Genomic DNA, 22128 nt, shown 5'->3' with positions numbered 1-22128 from the left:
CATTCCTGGCCAGCCTGGCTTCTGGTCTTTTTACAGCTAACCCATGATCTTTCATTCCCGACTTGTCTTATACATTTATCCTAGTCTGTCCTCACCCTGTTGCCAGTGATAAATATTGTGATGTTTGTAAACTGTCCATTACAACTCACCTTTGCTCATGGTGTTGCCTCTACTGAAATGTCCTTCCTACAATCTCAGGCTCTTGTCAGTGTACCCATTCTTCAAAATCCACTTTTGATACACTTTCAGTAAACCTTTCTTGACCATCTTTTACTACCGTAAACAAACTGTATTTTTCCATTTCTGTTATTTTGTAAATCTCTTAGGGAACTTTTCTGTCTTATGTAATTACTGGTATTTATTGTGGTACTCTTTCTACCTAATTATAAACTTCTCGTGATCAAGGATCTTGTGTTGCTTGTATTTGGATATCTCTGGGCAAATTCCCTTACATGTGAAAAGTGTTCATGTAATATGTGTGCAGTTAGATTATGGCAACACATTGGGTTTGTGATTAGTCTGAACTCTTGCAACGCAGTGTTTCAAAGCATGTTTTGTATCTAGCATCTAGCACATTACCTTGGCCATTAATAAACATGTCTTTTGAACTGATGAAGAAAATTGAAGTCTTTAGCTTGGTCCTTGTATTTTAGCTTCAGGGAAAAATTAACGTGGTTTTGCAGTTAGGGGAGTTCTTTCAGTAACATTTTCTCATTAATGTTATGAAAACCAAGGAATTTTTATTTGATTGGAATCCTGTTAATCAGCAGAGTTGGTAGAAAGAATTAACTAATTCATTAGCAATATTTTTTCTTAAAAGATGATTAAGAACTTTTTTTCTTTACAATTAGTAGAAAATGCTGTGTGTCTGCCTTATGGTGAATAATAATAAAGCAGATACAACTTCTTCCTTCCCCTCAAAATACAGGTTCTTGTTAAACCTTTGGGAGACCGAGGATACCTTTTTCTTCTCTCCCCTTATCAGATGGTTCCTCCATATGGTAGGTGGTCTCTCTTTAATAAATTTTTACAATTCTTTCTTAACTTTTTAGTTAAAACACATTGCTAATGAGTTTGGCTTCTGTTTTTTAGAATATCAGACTGCCAAGTCTCGAGTCCTACATGCTTTGTTTCTATTTCAAGAACCTAGAAGCATAGTTACTTGTAAGTTCTTTGAATATCTAAATCTGGTTACTTATAGATACTTAACATTTCATTGAAATTTTCCAGATAACTCACTAAACATTTTGTCTTTCTTACCTCATGTTTCAGGAAATACTGGGGGTTAAGAGGTATTAGCAATATAAGACACAAATTATATGAATTTTTTTTTTTTTTTTTTTTTTTTTTTTTTGATACAGAGTTTTGCTCTTCTTGCCCAGGCTGGAGTGCAGGGGCGCGATCTCAGCTCACTGCGACCTCCACCTCCCAGGTTCAAGTGATTCTCCTGCCTCAGCCTCCTGAGTAGCTGGGATTACAAGGCATCTACCACCACTCCCAGCTAATTTTTTTGTATTTTTAGTAGAGACGGGGTTTCACCATGTTGGCCAGGCTGGTCTCGAACTCCTGACCTCAAGTGATCCTCCTGCCTCGGTCTCCCAAAGTGCTGGGATTACAGGCATGAGCCACTGTGCCTGGCTGACGATTTTTTTTAACTATGAAAAATTAATTTGTGTTTATCAGTGCTCTCATAAAGCTTGATTATAATTGTTATAGTACTGTAGCTTAGTTATGATGGTTACTTTTTATTTATTTTAGAGATAGAGTCTCACTCTGTTGGAGATAGAGTCTCACTCTGTTGCCCAGGCAGTGGTGCGATCATGGCTCACTACATACAGCCTTGCCCTCCCTCCTAGGCTCAAGTGATCCTCCTGCCTCAGCCTCTTGAGTAGCTTGGGATTACAGGCGTGCGCCAGCACAGCTAGCTAAGTTTAAATTTTTTTTTTTTCTTTAGAAGCAGGATCTCACTATATTGTCTAGGTTGTTCTTGAACTCCTGGCCTGAAGCGATCCAACTACCTCAGCCTCCCAAGCTGCTGGGATTAGAGGCATGAGCCACTATTCCCGGTCTGTGAGGGTTTTGTATGATTATTTTTTAGCTTAGTTCAATTTTGCATTCAAATTTTAGTAACTCTAAAGCATCATTTGCCAGGATAAATATTAGGCAATTCAAAATTAATGAGAATTTTTGGCACTGATATAAGACAAGATTTGTTAACCACCTTTTCTAAGAATGAACTTTAATACTGTGTATTAAGCTAAAGTTCCCACTAATGGCTTTATTTCACTGTTGGATTAAGGATGAGTTTCTCAGTTGTGGCTACTCAGCATCTACATATCTGTTCATGTGAAGTTAGTTACTACTTTATAAGAGGAAGAGATGACATGCAGGACTGTTTTGCTTGGAGCCTCAGATCTTGTTCTGTCTCTGTTTCTTCTTACATATTGCTTGCCACTATTTGAATTTCCTGGGGGCAGTAGGAAGTGAGATCTTCAATGAGTGGGTGATTTTTCCTTTAAAAATGTGTTCTGCTTTTTCATTTGTTTTAGTTTCTTATTGGCCTGTTTTAGGATCCTGGACTTTACAAGCATGCTATTCATATATTTGCTATATTGTATATATGTACTAGGGTACATACTCGTCTGGTTCAACATTAATGTATAAATGTTTTTATACTTCTTTGGCAATATTTAGATCTGTATTTGATTAGTTTCTTGATTGCTAACATGGTTTGCTTTTTTGTTTGTTTGTTTTATTTACAGCACAAAAAGGTTCAACCAATGCAGCACCACAGGAGAGGCATGAGAGCATGCCAGATGTATTAAAAATAGCTCAGTTTTTACAATTTTCTTTGATTCAGTGTCGAAAGGAATTCAAAAATATAAGCGCCATAAATTTTCATTCTGTTGTTGAAAAGTATGTAAGTGAATTTTTTAAGCGAGGTTTTGGTTCAGGTAAACGAGAGTTTATTATGTTTCCATATGATTCACGATTAGATGATAAAAAATTCTTATACTCAGCTCCCAGAAATAAATCCCATATTGATACTTGTTTGCATGCCTATATTTTTCGGCCTGAAGTGTATCAGTTACCTATTTGTAAATTAAAAGAACTATTTGAAGAAAATAGAAAACTTCAGCAGTTTAGTCCACTTTCAGATTATGAAGGTCAAGAAGAAGAAATGAATGGTACAAAAATGAAATTTGGAAAACGAAATAACTCAAGAGGTGAAGCCATTATATCTGGAAAGCAAAGATCATCTCATTCTTTGGATTATGATAAGGATAGAGTCAAAGAATTGATTAATTTAATTCAGTGTAGGAAAAAGAGTGTGGGTGGGGACTCAGACACAGAAGATATGAGAAGCAAAACTGTCTTGAAGAGGAAGCTTGAGGATCTACCTGAAAATATGAGAAAGCTCGCCAAAACCAGTAATTTATCTGAAAATTGCCATCTGTATGAAGGTAAAATATCAGATTGCTCTTATAACAGCCAAAAATAAAGTAGTTCTGTTCTTTCTTGTAGCAGAGGGGCGTATAAATTAAAGCCTGAGGGTCAAATTCAGCCTGTCCACTATTTTTGTAAAGAAAGTTGTATTTGAATACAGCCATGCCCATTTATTTATGTGTATGTAGCTGCTCTCATGCTGTCATGGCAGAGTTGGCACTGAGACTGTATGGCCCACAAAGCCTAAAATATTTGCTACCTGGCCCAGTACAGGAAACACTTTACAATTCCTGCCCTGGTACATCAGATTTCTAAATTGTTTGGTTTAGGTTAACATGACATAATAATACTAATCAGAACTCTTGTCCTTTTATATTCCTTTATTTTTTTTGAGACGGAGTCTTGATGTCTCCCCAAGGCTGGAGTGTAGTGGCATGATCTCGGCTCACTGCAAGCTCCACCTCCTGGGTTCATGCCATTCTCCTGCCTCAGCCTCCCGAGTAGCTGGGACTGCAGGCGCCTGCCACCATGCCCGGCTAATTTTTTGTATTTTTAGTAGAGACGGGGTTTCACCATGTGAGCCAGGATGGTCTCGATCTCCTGACCTCGTGATCCGCCTGCCTCGGCCTCCCAAAGTGCTGGGATTACAGGCGTGAGCCACCACGCCTGGCCATATTCCTTTATTTTTATAGTTGAAGAAGTATAATATCAGAATAGTAGTATCTTTTAGGCTGTTGCATAATGAAAAGGAACCTTCTGAATTTGAAAATAAAATATGCATACACATACTCTTTTCTACCCCAAGAATCCAGGAATATCTTTGGGTTTTTCTTTTTTTGTTGTTCTTTTTTCCTTTGTTTTGTTTTAGTTGACAGAAAAAGATAGACATGTAAGGCGCTTGTTTTAAGTGTGTTTGTTTCAATATTGCAAGTCAGCTAAAACACTTTTATCTAGATTTTTAAGATCTTCACACTACTAGTTGATAAGCACAGAATGAGTTCTTTTGCATTCATAGAAAGTTGACATAACAATCCACGTTTTGTGTTACTGTTGCTCCTCTGATTATGGCAGAACTGAATATTCTTATGCTTTTTATTAAGCAACTTGTCTCTTCAGATTCAGTGTGTCTTAGTCTAGGTTAGTCAGATCAGTGTCTTAGTCTAGGTTAGTCAGATCAGTGTCTTTTTACACTTTTGCTCTTAGCAATCTGTATTTGTATCCTCACTTTTCACTTTCCTGCTCTTTTTATTTATTTATTTATTTTTGAGACAAAATCTCACTCCGTCACCCAGGCTGTAGTGCAGTGGCTCAGTCTTGGCTCACTGCAACCTCTGCCTACCTGGTTCAAAAGATTCTCGTGCCTGAGTCTCCCCAGTAGCTGGAATTACAGGCACGTACTACTGTGCCTGGCTAATTTTTGTATCTTTAGTGGAGACGGGGTTTTGCCATGTTGGCCAGGCTGGTCTTGAACTCCTGACCTCAAGTGATCTGTCTGCCTCGGCCTCCCAAAGTGCTGGGATTACAGTCGTCAGCCACCATGCTCAGCCTGCTCTCCTTTTACTTCTTTTATTGTTATGGTATTCAATGTGGTAGCCACTAGCCATATGTTTTTATTTAAGTTTGAATTAAAATGAAATTAAAATACATTTCAACAACCACACCATTGTATTAGTACAGAGAGAGAACATTTCCATTATTGCAGAAAGTTCTATTTGACATTACTTTTCTTTGCAGTAACTATAATGATTTTTTCTTTAGTTAACCTGTGTGTCTCTTTCTCTTTGCAATGTTGTTACTCTTTGTCTGTGTTCTTTATCTCTTTGGTGGCCTTCCTGACTTACTACCTTCTTGCACCCGTTTCAGTATCATGTTCTTCTCAGTATTGCTTTGCTAATTTGCTACCAATCTCATCTTATATACTTGCTTTTTAAGGCTTTGTTATAGACTAGCCATGTCCAGCCATGTTTCCCACTGTTCTCTCACATGTCTTGGTTAAGGGTCATCTCTCTCTGCCTAGAGTATGTCATGGTCAGTCTTTTATTTCCCTCTTTTTTTTCCTGAAGTAGCTTCCATTTCTTTCAAGCCTTATATCTTTGCAGTTCATATTCTCCTCAGCTTTCTGTCTATTCTCCTTAATGGTCTCCTCTAGTTTATGCTGGATTTGCAATCTGTGCTGAACCTGTTAGCACTTACTGACACATACTGTCTTATCTTGTGACATGTCTTGAGAGCTCTGTTTACTATGTGCTAGGTACTTTATGTATATGAACTCATTTATTAATAGTTCTTGAGTGATAGGCATTATTATCCTAATTTTGCAGATGAGAAAATCATCTCAGATAAGTTAAATAACTTTACCAAAAGTTATGAAGTTAGTGGCACAATCCGAAGTCAGTTCTGACTGACTCCAAAGCATTGTTGACAACAAACTGCTGCATTTCCTGTCACTGAGCACATTATATGCACTCAATAAATAAGATACTTATTTTTTGGTACTGTTTTTGTTGGTAACTAATTCTGTGTATGTGAAAAAATAGTTGTGGGTAAAAATCAGGCTTCATCAATAATTAAAATGATGAGAAAGCCATACTAATTATAATAAACCAAATGAGAAATGGAGCAGAGGAAGAAGGGTAGAATGCTTAACTAAAACTAGTGACTATCAGACTTGCATTTTTAGGTGTTTCTTACTTATTTCTTTTTAAGTAATTTTGCATACTTTGTTTCTGAAGGTAGAGATTTCAAGGTTGTATTCTAACTTTTTTTTTTGTTTTTTTTTTTTTTGAGACGGAGTCTCGCTCTGTCGCCCAGGCTGGAGTGCAGTGGCACAATCTCGGCTCACTGCAAGCTCCGCCTCCCTGGTTCTCGCCATTCTCTTGCCTCAGCCTCCCGAGTAGCTGGGGCGCCCGCCACCATGCCTGGTTACTTGTTTGTGTTTTTAGCAGAGACGGGGTTTCACCGTGTTAGCCAGGATGGTCTCGATCTCCTGACCTTGTGATCCGCCCGCCTCGGCCTCCCAAAGTGCTGGGATTACAGGCGTGAGCCACCATGCCCAGCCATATTCTAACTTTTAAAACACCCTGATCTTGATTTGGTGGTGAGCCCAGTCATTTTATGAGGTAACCTCCTAACCCATTCCCACCACCCCTTGTAACTTTTAACATAAACTGTTTTGAGGTACAGTTTATATCAGTGTACCTATTTAAGCACACAGTATGATTAGTTTTGACAGCTGTGTAATCACCGCTCCAATATATAGAACTTTTTTTTTTTTTTAAGATGGAGTCTTACTCTGTCTTCCAGGCTGGAGTGCAGTGACCCGATCTCGGCTCATTGCAACCTCTGCCTCCTGGGTTAAGCGATTCTCCTATCTCAGCCTTCCGAGTAGCTGGGATTACAGGCGTGTGCCACCATACCCAGCTAATTTTTGTATTTTTAGTAGAGACAGGGTTTCACCATGTTGGCTGAGCTAGTTTCGAACTCCTGACTTCAGGTGATCCACCCTCCTCAGCCTTCCAAAGTGCTGAGATTACAGGCGTGAGCCTATAGAATTTTTTTTTTTGGTGATGGAGTCTCGCTCTGTTGCCCAGGCTGGAGTGCAGTGGCATGATCTCGGCTCACCGCAACCTCCGCCTCCTGGGTTCAAGTGATTCTCCTGCCTCAGCCTCCCAAGTAGCTGGGACTACAGGTTCATGCCACTACGCCCAGCGAATTTTTTGTATTTTTTTAGTAGAGACGGGGTTTCACCTTGTTAGCCAGGATGGTCTCGATCTCCTGACCTTGTGATCTGCCCACCTCAGCCTGCCAAAGTGCTGGGATTATAGGCATGAGCCACCGTGCCTGGCCAGAACATTTTTATATGTTGCTTTGTGTTCTTTGTTAGGTAGCTCACCCCACTCCACTACTGATCTGCTTTTTGTCTTTATAGATTAGTTTTGCCTGCTCTATAAAAAGTTTACATAATTAGAGTCATACAGTATGCACTCCTTTGTTTCTGACATTTATTTTTGTTGTGGTACATTATACTCTTAAATTTGAAATCCTAACTCAGGCTTCACCCAATCCCTACCCCACCCCAATATTAAAGCACATGACTTTCTGAATGTTTGCGCCCTTTACAAGTTTTAAAATATATTGATTGTTACAGATTATACAGATTTATAGTGCATGCATGAAACCATGTCTTAACGTGTTTCCTCTTATAATACTTTTTGTTCTTGATGCAAATTTCGTGGAGATTTCTTCAGGGTGATTTTATCTCTATAATACCCTAGCTTCATTATGAATTTAAGTAATCTAGTCATTCAAGATAAGGTGTAGATTTTAAGTGTGTCAGCCAATGCCTTAAGGACAAAATATAATAGGTATGGAAAAGATAGAAATCAAATTGTCATTTTTTTAGTAGCCTAGTGTAATACACATATAATCCTAACAATTGGCAAAATAGTAATTACAAATGTTTCATCTCTTGTCAAGCACCTGGTTGACTTTGAGATTTTGATGGTAGTTATTAATACACATATTTAAAACCTAATGCATGAGCTTATTTTCCTATTGATAGAATGCTTAAATTACAATGGAAATTAAACTTTAATAGCAATTTTGAACTATGTGCAAAATTTTACAATTCTTTTTGTAAAGTGATGCGAATATTTGTAAAGTCTAAGCAAATTGGTTGAGTTCCTGACCATAAATGCTTTATGATAATTTTTTAGGTATATTTGATTTTAAAAGTTTTATGCTTGCTTTTAAACTTAACTTCAACCAATGACTTCCTTTTTCTCAGAGTCTCCACAGCCTATTGGCTCACTTGGACATGATGCTGACTTGAGGCGGCAGCAGCAGGATACCTGTAACTCCGGCATTGCTGACATCCATAGGCTGTTTAATTGGTTATCAGAAACACTAGCAAATGCGCGCCATTCTGATGCATCTCTGACAGACACAGTCAACAAAGCCTTAGGATTGAGCACTGATGATGCCTATGAAGAGCTGAGGCAAAAACATGAGTATGAGTTGAACTCTACCCCAGATAAGAAAGACTATGAGCAGCCTACTTGTGCAAAAGTTGAAAATGCACAGTTTAAGGGTACTCAGAGCTTATTACTAGAAGTTGATGCAACATCTAAGTATTCTGTTGCTATTTCTACCAGCGAAGTGGGCACTGACCATAAGCTACATTTGAAAGAAGTAAGCATATAGCTGTTGGTTACCTTTGTGTTTGTGAGTGTGTGTGTGAAAGAGGTGCTGTGAGTATGCTTCAGGGAATGATTTTTTTCTTTGAAAAAGAAATAAAATGCACTTTTGAGTAAAGGTGCCTGTCTAGGATGGTACTTCCTAAGTTATTCCTTGTTACAAAGAGATAAATGCTGAAGTAGTTTTCCTTCCTTCTTAGAAGCTTAATATATTGTCTACAGTTTACTTGTGATAAAGCTTAGGCGGAACAATCTATTAATATTTGTCAGAAATGGCTTATTGGGAGTTAATTCCTTATTGTTTCATAATGAAGTTGAATTATTAAAGCATTGGCTTTCTGTCGGCAGTAACAGAGAACCCAAAGGTGAGGCAGATGAGGATGCCAGTCTCAGTACAGCAGTGTGACAGTTAGGTACTTGGTATTTCTTACGCAAATAGGAATGGAACATAAGCAGCCTTTAGGATTACCCCTGAAGTGACTCTCAGCCTTGCTTATTAGAGTGTCCAGTATATTTATGATATATGTTCAGAGTGCTGGTTTGTAGCTGAGAAGTAGCCTTATCTGCCTTAAGCAGTCACTGCATCACTGGGGAATAGTTCTAGGATTGCACCGTATTCCTATGGGCTTATTTCTTCATTTACTGTCTCCATTTTCTCTTCCCTGCCTTTGTTTAAAAGTTGTATGCATGTCCCCATTCTTTCTCGATGTCGTTTTGGGATATTTATTTCAAGGGGAAGATGATGGCAGGAGGGTTATTGGGGTATGTAAGGTAGGCACTGAGGAACTAACCTGTATTAATATTTTCTGATATCTTTTGTATTTTAAATCAAGTTGATGGGGGGCGGGGGCATGGGTTGAACCTAGCACACTACCCATTTTTATAACTAAAGTTTTATTGGAGTACAGCTGTGTCCATTTGTTTAGGTATTGCCTGTGATAGACTAGAGAGTCTGGCCTGCAGAGCCTAAAATATTTAATGTTTGGCACTTCAGCACAAACGTTTACCAATCCCTGTTCTAAATTAACATAAAATTATGTTTCGAGGGAAAAGATGTTTTAATTTTGAAACTAGAGTATAACTTTACCATGTTGATTTTACGCATTTGTAATGTTTAGATTGAAGCACGTGAATTTTCAGTGAAAAAACAGTTTATTCTTGACATTAAAATGAATTGGAAATAAAGCTATTCAGTGTGTACTTTGATTTTTAGGATCCAAATTTAATTAGCGTGAATAATTTTGAAGATTGCAGTTTGTGTCCCAGTGTTCCCATTGAACATGGATTTCGTAGACAACAGTCTAAGTCAAATAATGTTGAAGAGACTGAAATACATTGGAAACTGATTCCAATTACAGGTAAGAAAAGTATACTTGGACTTGTGTTTGCTTCATTTTACTTAGAGACCAGTTTCCTGAATGTTTCCATCTTCTGTGGATTTCACTCTTGGGTCACTAGGTGCTTCATCTTAATTGGTGCTGACATCTTCAGTGTCTTATTTTGAGTAATACAGTGTTCATCACTGAGTGTTGCTGTTCTTGGTCAGCATCAGCAAGCACCTGCAAAATCACCTTAAAAACAGGGATTTAAGACACACTGTCTCTATGGAGTTTAGCATGCAGACTGCTGAATGAAGACTGTTGGCAGAAACTGAGTTTTTGATAAGGTGAGGTAGCTGCAGAGATAAAATGGTGCTCTTTGGACAACCAATTAAATGCTGTCTTCTCAAACTTTAAACTTCACCGTAACAAGCTGTCATCTAATAAGTGATAATGTTGAGGTTCATCTATTAGAAATTTGATTTCTTAATACTGGATTATCTTAAATAAATTGGATTATCTTAGAGAATGGCCTGAATGATCAAATGTAAATGTTATTGAACTGTGAGGCAAAAAGTTTAGCAGATGTTGAAATATTATCTTTTTTTTTTTTTGGTAGCATTCTAATTTCTCTGTGCAAACACATACATACACACACATAAATACATACTCTTAATATTCCAAGTTGTTACTCACTTTTCTAGCTAAACATTTTTGGAAATATTTTCAGGGTATACGTCTTTTCCAGTCCTACACCTCTAACCTTTTAAAAACAATAGCAACAGCAAACAACTTTTTGTTACAAAGTAGACTGGCCTGTGAACTAAACTAGAACCTGCTGAGACTTCCGAGGACTCTGAGAAGAATTTATAAAACTTGATGAGTTCCCATGGGCTTTAGCACCATCTTCTACTTAACATCTTTCTGGAGGGTAGGAGGCCTGTAGGTGATGATAGAGGGAACCTAGTATTGTTTTATGAGGTGGAAACATCAGCTTGAGTAGGAGAAACAAAAGAAGTAGTTGATATAAGAAGGTTATCCTAACCGTTTCTCATTTAGACACCTTCATACTTGGTGTTGGGTCATTTGAAGGTACAATGTCTTAAGTGTTGATATTCCATCATCACCAGTATGACCCTTCAGATTATTTTAGGCAGAAGAAGGAATGCTTGCATTGTTATCACTTGGGGTTGTCTGAAAGGTGCTTAGTGTAGGTATCACTAATGTCTGAAGAGAGTCTAATGGATGCTTTCCCTCAGGAGGGAATGCAAGAAGCCCAGAAGACCAGCTGGGGAAACATGGTGAGAAACAAACACCAGGTGAGAAGGCTTGCTTTGCTTTTCTTCCCAGTGTGCCCTTCTTCAGAGTTGCTACTTGCATTTCTGATACTCCATCAATAGGGCATTGACTTAAATTTTTTTAATTACAGAAAATTTGGACAGTACCATATTTATTTATATGTAAATCATTACTTGAGTTGTATCCACTATTCTTACTATAAAGAGTGTTCAGATAAGTCACCGAATATTTATATAAATTTTCTTCACCCATAGTAGAGTCTATCTTACAATATGATTTGGGAAGACCAGAATATATTCCTAAGCCATTTGTGCAGTATATTTTATGATAAACTCTTCTTTTTTTGTTTTTGGTTTTTTTGAGATGGAAGCTTGCTCTGTCACCCAGGCTGGAGTGCAGTGGCGTGACCTTGGCTCACTGCAACCTCTGCCTCCCGAGGTTCAAGCAATTCACCTTCCTCAGCCTCCCAAGTAGCTGGGATTACAGGCGCATGCCACCATGCCCAGCTTATTTTTTTATTTTTAGTAGAGACGGGATTTCACCATGTTTGCCAGGCTGGTCTCAAACTCCTGACCTCAGGTGATCCACCTGCTTCAGCCTCCCAAAGTGCTGGGATTACAGGCTTGAGCCCCCAAACCTGGGTTTCTTCTTTTTTAAATTTTTAAAAAATAGCCAAGAAGGGTAAGCCATTTATATTTTAGGTATACTATTCATAGTCTTTTAACCTAGTTCTTCTGATTGTAAAACTAATTTCTGCAGGTAGATTAAATAAGATTAAGAAACTTGGATTTCAGAAACAGTTGCAGATATTATTGATTAGCTAGTTGGCAGTGGGTACCTAGGAGATAATCTTTGTCTGATCTTGGTGGATTCAACTTCTCTGCAGATGGTCATAGGCATTGTTTTCTTGTTTACAGTTTGGTGGTGATCTTTTTTATATTTTCCTTCAGTTTTGTTGTATCTGACTCTTTTCAGAAATTAAAGTGTTGTTTTTTTATTTGTAAGAAATGTGAAATGACTACATCTTTGTAGTTATTTATTTCCTTTGGGAGTTCCCCTCCCCCGCTAATTAAAGTTACTAGTTTCCTTGAAGAAAATCTTCACCATCTCCTTCTAGGAAAATGTGGTTAAAAAAAAAAAGAAACCATGAACAACAGATATATAACATAGAGGAAAGTTCACAAATCTTTTTTTTTTTCCCCTCTGATACAGAATCTCTCTCTGTCACCCAGGCTGGAGTGCAATGGCATGATCTTGGTTCACTGCAACCTCTGCCTCCTGGGTTAAGCGATTCTCCTGCCTCAGCCTCCCAAGTAGCTGGGATTACAGGCATGTGCCACCGCACCCGGCTGATTTTTGTAGTTTTAGTAGAGACAGGGTTTCACCTTGTCGGCCAGGCTAGTCTCGAACTCCTGACCTCAAGTGAGCCACTGAACCTGGCCACAGATCTTTATTGTACAGCTTTTTGAAATTTTACATATGTACATGACCATCACCCAAATCAAGATGTAGAACGTTTCTAGCATCCCAGAAGATTTTCTTCCACATTCTCCTAGTTAGTACTCTCCTTGTTCCCAAGTAAGTGCTAATCTGATTAGTTTTGCCTGTTGTTGAACTTAGGATAAATAGAGCCTACTCATGTCGTCTCTCGTGTTTGGTACTTTCATGCAATATCGTGTCAGGGAGTCCATGTTTTGCATCTATCAGTAATTCTTTTCTGATTTCGGGGTTTTACCATGTTGGCCAGGATGGTCTCAATCTCTTGACCTCGTGATCTGCCCACCTTGGCCTCCCAAAGTGTTGGGATTACAGGTGTGAGCCACTGTGCCCGGCTAGTAGTTATCTTTCTTATGCTTCAGAATGTTCCATCAGCACCTGCATTCCTCTTATTTGGAAATACCATCTTTATATTTTGTAAGCTAAAGTGTAGACATCTGAATGATGGTGCCTTTAGAGAACTGACTACTCCCCTTTCACTTAAAAGTTAAAATACTGCAATTATTTAATGGCAATAAGTTTTTTTTTAAAAAAGCACGGTGTCTCATGTTTGTAATCCCAGCACTTTGGGAGGCCAAGGTGTGCGGATCAGGAGGTCAAGACATCGAGACCATCCTGGCCAACATGGTAAAACCCTGTCTACTAAAAATAAAAAAATTAGCTGAGCATGGTGGCTTGAGCCTGTAGTCGCAGCTACTCGGGAGGCTGAGGCAGGAGAATTGTTTGAACCTGGGAGGTGGAGGTTGCAGTGAGCCGAGATCTCACCACTGCACTCCAGCCTGGTGGCAGAGCGAGTCTCTGTCTCAACAACAACAACAACAACACCACCACCACCACCAACAACAAAAGCTTTATTATGGATTGACATGTATGTGTGTTTTCAATCACTTATAGATGAAGATATTTTCAAAATAATTAAGTTTTGTTTTTTTTTTCTATTTTTTTTTGCAACAGAATCTTGCTCTGTTGCCCAGGCAGGCTGGAGTGCAGTGGTGCAATCTTGGCTCACTGCAGCCTCTGCTTCCTGAGTAGCTGAGATTACAGGTGCTCGCCACCACGCCTGGCTAATTTTTGTATTTTTTTTTTTAGTAGAGACGAGGTTTCACCATGTTGGCCAGGCTGGTCTCGAACTCCTGACCTCAGGTGATCTGCCTGCCTTGGCCTCCCAAAGTGCTGGGATTACAGGCATGAGCCACTGTGCCTGAGCAGTTAAGTTCTTAATAAAATCATACAGGGAAATTTGTGCAAAATAAAATTAGGTTGTGATTATTTATATTTTATAAAGGGATCTATTTGGTTTAGAGGTTTTTAATTATGGAAAATTCTCCATGTGGATTTAATTTATATTTCAGGTTAAAAATATTCCCTTTATTTATAACCCTTGAGGAGTAAACTTACTGGTTGTTGTTTAGCTATACATTTTGGGAGCCACTGTTGCATTTAAAGTAATAAATAGCTGGGTGTGGTGGTATGTACCTGTAATCCCATCTACTTGGAAGACTGAGGCAGGAGGAATTGAGGCCAGAAATTCAGGGCCAGTCTGGGAAACATAGTGAGGCCCCATGTCTAATAAATAATTCAGAATTTTTTAAATTAAGGTAGTTCTTCGCAACCCATATGTTTTATGAGATGCAATTCAATTTTTTTTCTTTGAATATATCAGATATTTGACATGATACGTAATTCAAGAAGTCCAAAAATACTTAAGAAAGTAATACTGCCCCAGCCCGGAACACTTAGATTCTTCCCCATATATTAGCCATGGTTACCAATTTCTCGTGTATCCTTCCAGACACTTTATGTGTACTAAAGCACATTTTAATGTTGGAGATTTAAGATACTCAGGATATTTAGTACTCCTAATTATCTTATGAAACTTGGATTTTCTGGTTTATCAATTTCATACAGTTCTAATTCTTATCCTGGCACGTTGGATATTTTGTTCCCCTCTCACCTCCGCCTACAGACCCGCCTTGGGTCTTTTCACTGTGCTGACAAATTGCCTTTGCAATAGTTAATGAGTGTACTGGTTCATGATAACCACCAGGATTGGTAGAGAATGTCATAAGCTCGACTCCTAGTGAGGCTATTTAAACCTTTAGAAAAGTGTGATGAGTGTGAGCAAAATCTTCACTGTAAGTTTGAAAACTACCTGTACCTGGACTTTCTGATTTAGAGGCACCATTTCCTATACTACAGCAGCAATTTGTTAGGGAATGTTGGCCAAGGCTTAAAGAAAAACAGTAATTTTTTAGCGGGTAAAATTGTGTATACGTCTTCTAAGCAAAGATCATGAGTTTTTGTCCTTTCCTAAAATATAACACTAAAATTGAAGTTAAATATATTTTTCCCCTTGTTGCTTAAAAATGGAATTAGAGTTCCCTTTTTCAAATGTAGTTTCAAAAACATACTGTGTTTGAATTTAGGATTTTTTTGGGGAAAGTATGATCTTTTGGATTGAGCTGTTTGTCAAGAGTGAAAGGTTTTAATCTCATTAGTATCAGCTAACCTTAGTATCAGCTAACATCTGTATCTCAAATGAGGTATAGCTATCTTTTCTTTTAGAATTATTTCCAAACAAAAGGAAAATATTTATGAAAGGACTGTCAAAAATGTGCAGCTGTGAAATATGTTCTTCTCTTGTCTTATTATTGTTCCTTTTATTTCCTGATAAAATGAAGTCCCTGACATTACAGGAAATCTACTTAGCAACCTCGTAAGTGAGAACAAGTCTGAAAGCAGATAAAATTAATTATCCTAGATCCTAGATGCAACTTTTAACTTGGCAGTTATTCCCACAGCATTTCTGTTTGGTATTCTTACAATTGCCTTACACTCAGAATTCTTACTAAGGGGCCATTACCATAGTAGATATTACTTGGCAAATAATAAATACAGGGATTGAGCAAGCTGATGTAATTGACTGTCTTGATTTAAAATGTGTATTAAACTTAGATCTACAGAATGGTAGGGAGGCAGAAACAAGCAAATGACTTAATTTGTATTGATGCCAAATTGGTGCTTGCTTGAGCGCTTCAAAATAGCAGAGTTGTTAACACTAGCTACAACTCTAAGGACCATCCCATAAGTAGGGCACATAGGGAATAGAATTCATACCAGAATTTTAGGATTTTATTTTACCTTCTAATATATAATTAGTTCTAAATGTGTGTTAACCCTTTTTTCCCCCAATTTAAGGGTTTGTGTTTTCATATCTTATCTTTTTGGATTGCTCTTATAATAATGAACTCTTCCTGTATAGGTATGAAATCACCAGAAGAACAACTGGTGTGTGTGCCACCACAGGAGGCCTTTCCTAACGACCCCCGGGTAATAAATAGACAGAGAAGTTCTGATTACCAGTTTCCATCCTCTCCATTTACAGACACACTAAAGGGCACCACTGAGGATGACGTGTTGACAGGTCAGGTGGAGGAGCAGTGTGTGCCAGCAGCAGAGGCAGAGCCGCCTGCAGTGAGCGAAACCACAGAGAGGACAGTGTTAGGAGAGTACAATCTCTTTTCTAGGAAGATAGAAGAGATTTTGAAGCAAAAGAATGTTTCATATGTCAGTACAGTTTCCACACCTATCTTTTCAACACAAGAGAAGATGAAACGGCTTTCCGAGTTCATATATTCTAAGACTTCCAAAGCTGGTGTGCAGGAGTTTGTAGATGGTTTGCATGAGAAGCTAAATACTATTATTATTAAAGCATCAGCCAAGGGTGGGAATTTGCCACCAGTCAGTCCTAACGATTCTGGTGCTAAGATAGCATCGAATCCTCTGGAAAGGCATGTCATACCAGTTTCCTCAAGTGACTTCAACAATAAACATCTCCTTGAGCCACTGTGTAGTGATCCTTTGAAAGATACCAACTCTGATGAGCAGCATTCCACTTCGGCTTTAACTGAAGTAGAAATGAACCAGCCTCAACATGCCACAGAGTTAATGGTGACTTCTGATCATATTGTACCTGGTGATATGGCCCGGGAACCAGTAGAAGAAACAACAAAATCCCCCAGTGATGTAAACATTTCTGCTCAACCAGCTCTTTCAAATTTTATAAGCCAGTTAGAACCTGAAGTATTTAATAGTTTGGTTAAAATCATGAAAGACGTCCAGAAAAATACTGTGAAATTTTATATTCATGAAGAAGAAGAGAGTGTGCTCTGTAAAGAAATAAAGGTAACTAAACCAGAAGGTAATAGTAATGCTGTACAAACTTCTCTTGTTGGTGTGACCTCTATAAAATGGAAGTTTTTTGTATTTAAATGTTTTGTGTTTAAATGTTAGGCCAGGAATGGTGGCTAATACCTGTAATCCCAAAACTTGGGAGGCTGAGGCAGGAGGATTGCTTGAGGCCAGGAGTTCATGACAAGCCTGGGCAACATAACAAGACATTGTCTCTTAAATTAATAACAAAAATTAGGTGTGGTGGCACTCTACTGTAGTCCCAGCTGCTTGGGAAGCTCAAGTGGGAGGATCACTTGAGCCCAGGCATTCAAGATTACAGTTAGCTATGATTGTGCCAGCCTAGGTAATAGAGTCAGACCCTGTCTCTAAAAATAAATGTTAATTGTGTATTTTCATAATTTAACTCAGGGTGGAATAAAAGAGTGGTAAGTCCAAGTAAATTCAGAACTTCTGATCTATGTTAGAATTTAGAATCTTGTTTTATAGTGTCATTTATGCACATACCTTTTAAACTTGATTTGAAGGTTTTAAGTATTTCTTGGATTTTTGTTTTTTTTTTTGAGACAGAGTCTCCTTCTGTCGCCCAGGCTGGAGTGCAGTGGCGTGATCTCGGCTCACTGCAACCTCTGCCTCCCAAGTTCAAGCGATTCTCCTGCCTCAGCCTCCGAGGTAGCTGGGATTACAGGCGTGCCACACCATGCCTGGCTAATTTTTTTTTGTATTTTTAGTAGAGGTGGGGTTTCACCATGTTGATCAGGCTGGTCTGGAACTCCTGGCCTCGTGATCCGTCCACCTCAGCCTCCCAAAGTGCTGAGATTACAGGCGTGGGCCACTGCGCCTGGCCGTTTCTTGCATTTTTAATGAAGAGGAGGGAAAAAAACAGAGAGGAAAAGTTAAGTTGCCAGGGTTTATCTCATGGGATTTGATCAATCATATAGAAAAACAAACTGCCCAGGGTTGGCCTAATGATAAACTTTTGGTGTTTCTTGATACCCTAGCCATGTAACATTCCCTTTAGCCTTTATTGATCAAGAAACTTGATAATCTTGAAAGACTCCTCAGTCATGAAAGATTTCTCATTGTGAGGTGTATTTTTTCTACCGAAGCTGCAGACTAATATTTTAGATAGTTGGTTTAAACACACACACAGATGGCTGGGCGTGGTGGCTCACGCCTGTAATCCCAGCACTTTGGGAGGCCAAGACGGGTGGATCACGAGTTCAGGAGATTGAGACCATCCTGGCTAACATGGTGAAAACCCCGTCTGTACTAAAGTACAAAAAATTAGCCGGGCATGGGGGCAGGCGCCTGTAGTCCCAGCTACTCAGGAGGCTGAGGCAGGAGAATGGGGTGAATCCGGGAGGCGGAGCTTGCAGTGAGCCGAGATCACGCCAGTGCACTCCAGCCTGGGCGACAGAGCAAGACTCCATCTCAAAAAAAAAAAAAAAAACAAAAAAACACAGACACACACACACACGCCTTTCTGTGTGTCTGTATGTTTAGACATAGATACGTAAGTTTGTTACCAGTAGGTAGGTAAATGGTAACACATTGGAGCAATTACATTAGTGGTATAATAGTAAAATTAATCATAAATTATGGGATTTTAATTCCTCAAGGGAATGCCTAGGATTTTGAAATAAATGCCTGCTCTCATTTATGGAGTTTACTTACCATGACTGGAATTTCATTAGAGGAAGCAGAGGGACCATGGGCTTTATAGCTACTAACATGTCCTAAGCCTTCTGTAAGTTTGGGGATCTCTGAGGTCAGCATGTTTTGTGTGATGTTACCTGGTCAAGACCTGAAGAACATAGAAATTACATGAGTCAGAGTACTGTGTTGGGCTTTCCTTACTGATTGCTAATGGTTTCTTGGGAAAATGAAATAAGACTTCTAGGAATTCCTTGGTTGCATTTTTGCCCTACATGACTGAATGTAGAGTTTCTCAACTTTTCCCCACCAGCCAGCAACAAGTTCCCTAGCACAGTACTCTTTGGGGGCATAGCTAGCTGCATATTGGTTTGGGGTTAGATGAGAGAATAGGTTGGGCACAGTTCCCGGTGTGCTTAGCATAACTCCAACTTCCTCCATCCCCGCACCCCCCACCCCCCACCCCCCCGCTCCTTTTTTTAAAAGGATTTGTAACACATACCTATTTGACATTTTAAAAAATTTATTTATTTATTGAGACGGAGTTTTGCTCTTGTTGCCCAGGGTGGAGTGTAATGGCACTATCTTGGCTCACTGCAACCTCCGCCTTCTGGGGTCAAGCAATTCTCCTGCCTCATCCTCCCAAATAGCTGGGATTGCAGGCACCCGCCACCACTCCCAGCTAATTTTTTGTATTTTTAGTAGAGACAGGGTTTCACCATGTTGGCCAGGCTGGTCTCGAACTCCTGACCTTAGGTGATGTGCCCGCCTTGGCCTCCCAAAGTACTGGGATTACAGGCGTGAGCCATCGCACCCAGCCGTTACATTTAGATTAAGGGGATAGGAGATGCATTTCCTAATTAATTGTGCTTTTAATTTATCTGGCATAGAATAAGTCATTTCTGTCATTTATATAGAATAAAAGAGCATTCTTTGTTTTACGAATCTGATAGAAAACCAGATTGAAACTTTAATTCTTTTAATCAGTATCCATTGGAAATATTCCAGCAAAAATACTACAGTAAAAGACTTTATGAATAAAAATGTAAACTTTATATATTTCTGGAGTCAAACTGATTTATTATGTGAATTAAACTGTCTTATTTAAAATGAGCTTAAAGCTTCTTAATGTAAGAAGACATCAAAGATTACCAGCAGGGAGGCTGAGGCGGGCAGATCACGAGGTCAGGAGATTGGGACCATCCTGATTGACATGGTGAAACCCCGTCTCTACTAAAAATACAAAAAATTAGCCAGGCATGGTGGTGGGTGCCTGTAGTCCCAGCTACTTGGGAGGCTGAGGCAGGAGAATGGTGTGAACCCAGGAGGCAGAGCTTGCAGTGAGCCGAGATAGCGCCACTGCACTGCAGCCTGGGTGACAGAGCGAGACTCCATCTCAAAAAAAAAAAAAATTACCAGCAGGCATGTCAGATGGTAATTTACCTTTTCATTAACTGACTAAGCTGGTCTGAGATCTGCCCAAAAGTTCCAGAGATTGGATCAAAATCAGTGTAGAAGGTGCTGCTTTAGCACAACAGCATCCTCTTTGGGGTAACACTTCAGGTTGAAAGAGCAGCAGACTGGTTGTCAGGTAAGCTGGGTTTTTATTATAGCTGTCTGACCAGCTGTGCTGACATTAAAAGTAATCTCTGAAATGAGGAATATGACCTCCAGGATCCTGCAGTTTGCTTCAGTGTTCAGGATTCCACCAGCAAGCAGAGAGCAAAGGGAACTCTGCATGAAAGTCTGCCTGTGTCCTGTGAAAGGCAGTACCATGTTCACCAGCATGGAGGAAGAGTTACTAGTTGGGAAAGTCTACTTTGAAGACAGAAACTTGACAGAAATGGCTAATTTGTATGTGAATACCATTGTACATAATGAAGCTCTATATAAATGCTTTTTTAGCTGTTGTGAATTAGAGCTATGGTTGTGAAAGTTCTTAACTCTGAAGGCGTTTATCCCAGTTAATACTGCTGCAAATAACCAAGGGCCTACTTAGAATGGAAAGGAAAAGGTGAGCTAGGGAGTGGTTAATGATTAGACTCTAGGTTGCCTTAAAGTGTTTCTCATAGGATATTATAGTCAACCTAGAGTCTAATCATTAACCTCTATAATAACTAAAGGAGCTGGGTTAAGAACCTGGCCTAATTAACAGTTCTTTCTGTTAACTCACACTGTTACTTGGCTGGCTTTGCATAGTGCTGTAACATTGTGACTGTGTGATTGGTGAAGCTCTGTAACATTGTGACTATGTGATTGGTGAAGCTCTGACCTTTAGATTCCTCTTCTAGAAAAGAAAAGTGGATTTGGGCCATGTGCAGTGGCTCACGCCTGTAATCCCAGCACTTTGGGCGGCCAAGGCAGGAGGATCACTCGAGCCCAGGAATTTAAGACCAGCTTGGGCAACACAGCAAGACTCTGTCTCTTACAAAAAAAAAAAAAAAAAAAAAAATTAGCCTGGTATGGTGGTGCGAGCCTAGTGCCATCCATGTATTCAGGAGGCTGAGGTGGGAGGGTGGCTTGAGCCTGGGAGGTCAAGGCTGCAGTGAGCTGTGATCATGCTGCTATACTCCAGCCTGGGCAATGGTGAGACCCTGTCTCAAAGAAAAAAAAAAAGGATTTGATGGTCTCTTAGAGTGTAAGTTCATTCATTGTTAATAATGTCATGGTAGTAGTTAAGCTTATCAGTTTATCTTGCATTTCTGGTGTTAAATTGATGTTTACAAAGAAGTATTTTAATATTGATTTAGTTGTTTTTCTTTAACAGGAATATCTTATCAAATTAGGCAATACAGAATGTCATCCTGAACAGTTTTTGGAAAGAAGATCAAAATTAGATAAACTATTGATTATTATTCAAAATGAAGACATTGCAGGTTTCATTCACAAGGTAGACTATTAAGTCAAATTCACTACTTTGGTTTTAAAAACTCCCTTATTTTAAAATCTTACTGTCTGCCAGACTAGTGTTTTTAAAATAAGCTTTAAAGGAGATTAAACTTAAGGACCCATCTGTGAATCAGCTTGTGAGATTCAAGTTTGTACCTATGCAAAATTTTAAATTGCTGCACATCACAGATCTTCCCTGTCACTCAGGTAGTCAAGACTAATAAGAGTACTGAATCCTTGAATGCCATTGGGTCTGCTGACTGACTACATAATGTTTTCATCTTCATTTGTATGTCCTAGGAAAAACCTATTTGTGCTCCATCTTTGCCAGACCAGTCCCCTTTTCCCTTAAATTTTGAGGTATCCCATCTAGTCTTAGGAGCCCTATCTCCATCCTACATCTTGGACGTCTTTCCTGATTGACTGTTCGAGCACATAGGCTTTTGCCTTCGTCTGAATTCTGACTGTACTCACAGGTTATAGAGAGGTCAGCTTTTGTCCATTTTGTGTTTTCAGGTCTATTGTAAGCTCCTTTTCCTTAGTCGTCTGTGGTAGGTCCCAGTACATAAATGTTGGTTTATATATTGGGAAATAATGTTGGGAATATTATTTGTGTGGCTTTCCAGAGGTAATCC

At 39.1% G+C, this 22128-nt stretch overlaps 1 protein-coding gene across 9 annotated transcripts in view; it reads left to right on the top strand.

Moving 5' to 3' along the window:
* TASOR (transcription activation suppressor) overlaps positions 1-22128 on the top strand; it is a 63134-nt gene that overhangs the window by 33280 nt on the left and 7726 nt on the right. For 4 of the 9 annotated variants that reach the window (NM_001365635.2, NM_001112736.2, XM_047447814.1 and 1 more), the window contains 8 exons: positions 929-1001; positions 1093-1164; positions 2763-3464; positions 8234-8637; positions 9856-10000; positions 11221-11280; positions 16020-16942; positions 21372-21494. In NM_001365635.2, coding sequence (NP_001352564.1) covers positions 929-1001; positions 1093-1164; positions 2763-3464; positions 8234-8637; positions 9856-10000; positions 11221-11280; positions 16020-16942; positions 21372-21494 — 2502 coding nt within the window. The remainder of the gene's footprint in view (positions 1-928; positions 1002-1092; positions 1165-2762; positions 3465-8233; positions 8638-9855; positions 10001-11220; positions 11281-16019; positions 16943-21371; positions 21495-22128) is intronic. The other 5 variants (NM_001365636.2, NM_001365637.2, NM_015224.3 and 2 more) reach the window with 2 other exon arrangements.

This window comes from Homo sapiens, chromosome 3 (genome assembly GCF_000001405.40).
Source record: "Homo sapiens chromosome 3, GRCh38.p14 Primary Assembly".
Classification (NCBI taxonomy): domain Eukaryota; kingdom Metazoa; phylum Chordata; class Mammalia; order Primates; family Hominidae; genus Homo; species Homo sapiens.
Note: the sequence above shows the minus strand (reverse complement) of the source record. Positions and strands in the feature narration are given on the sequence as shown.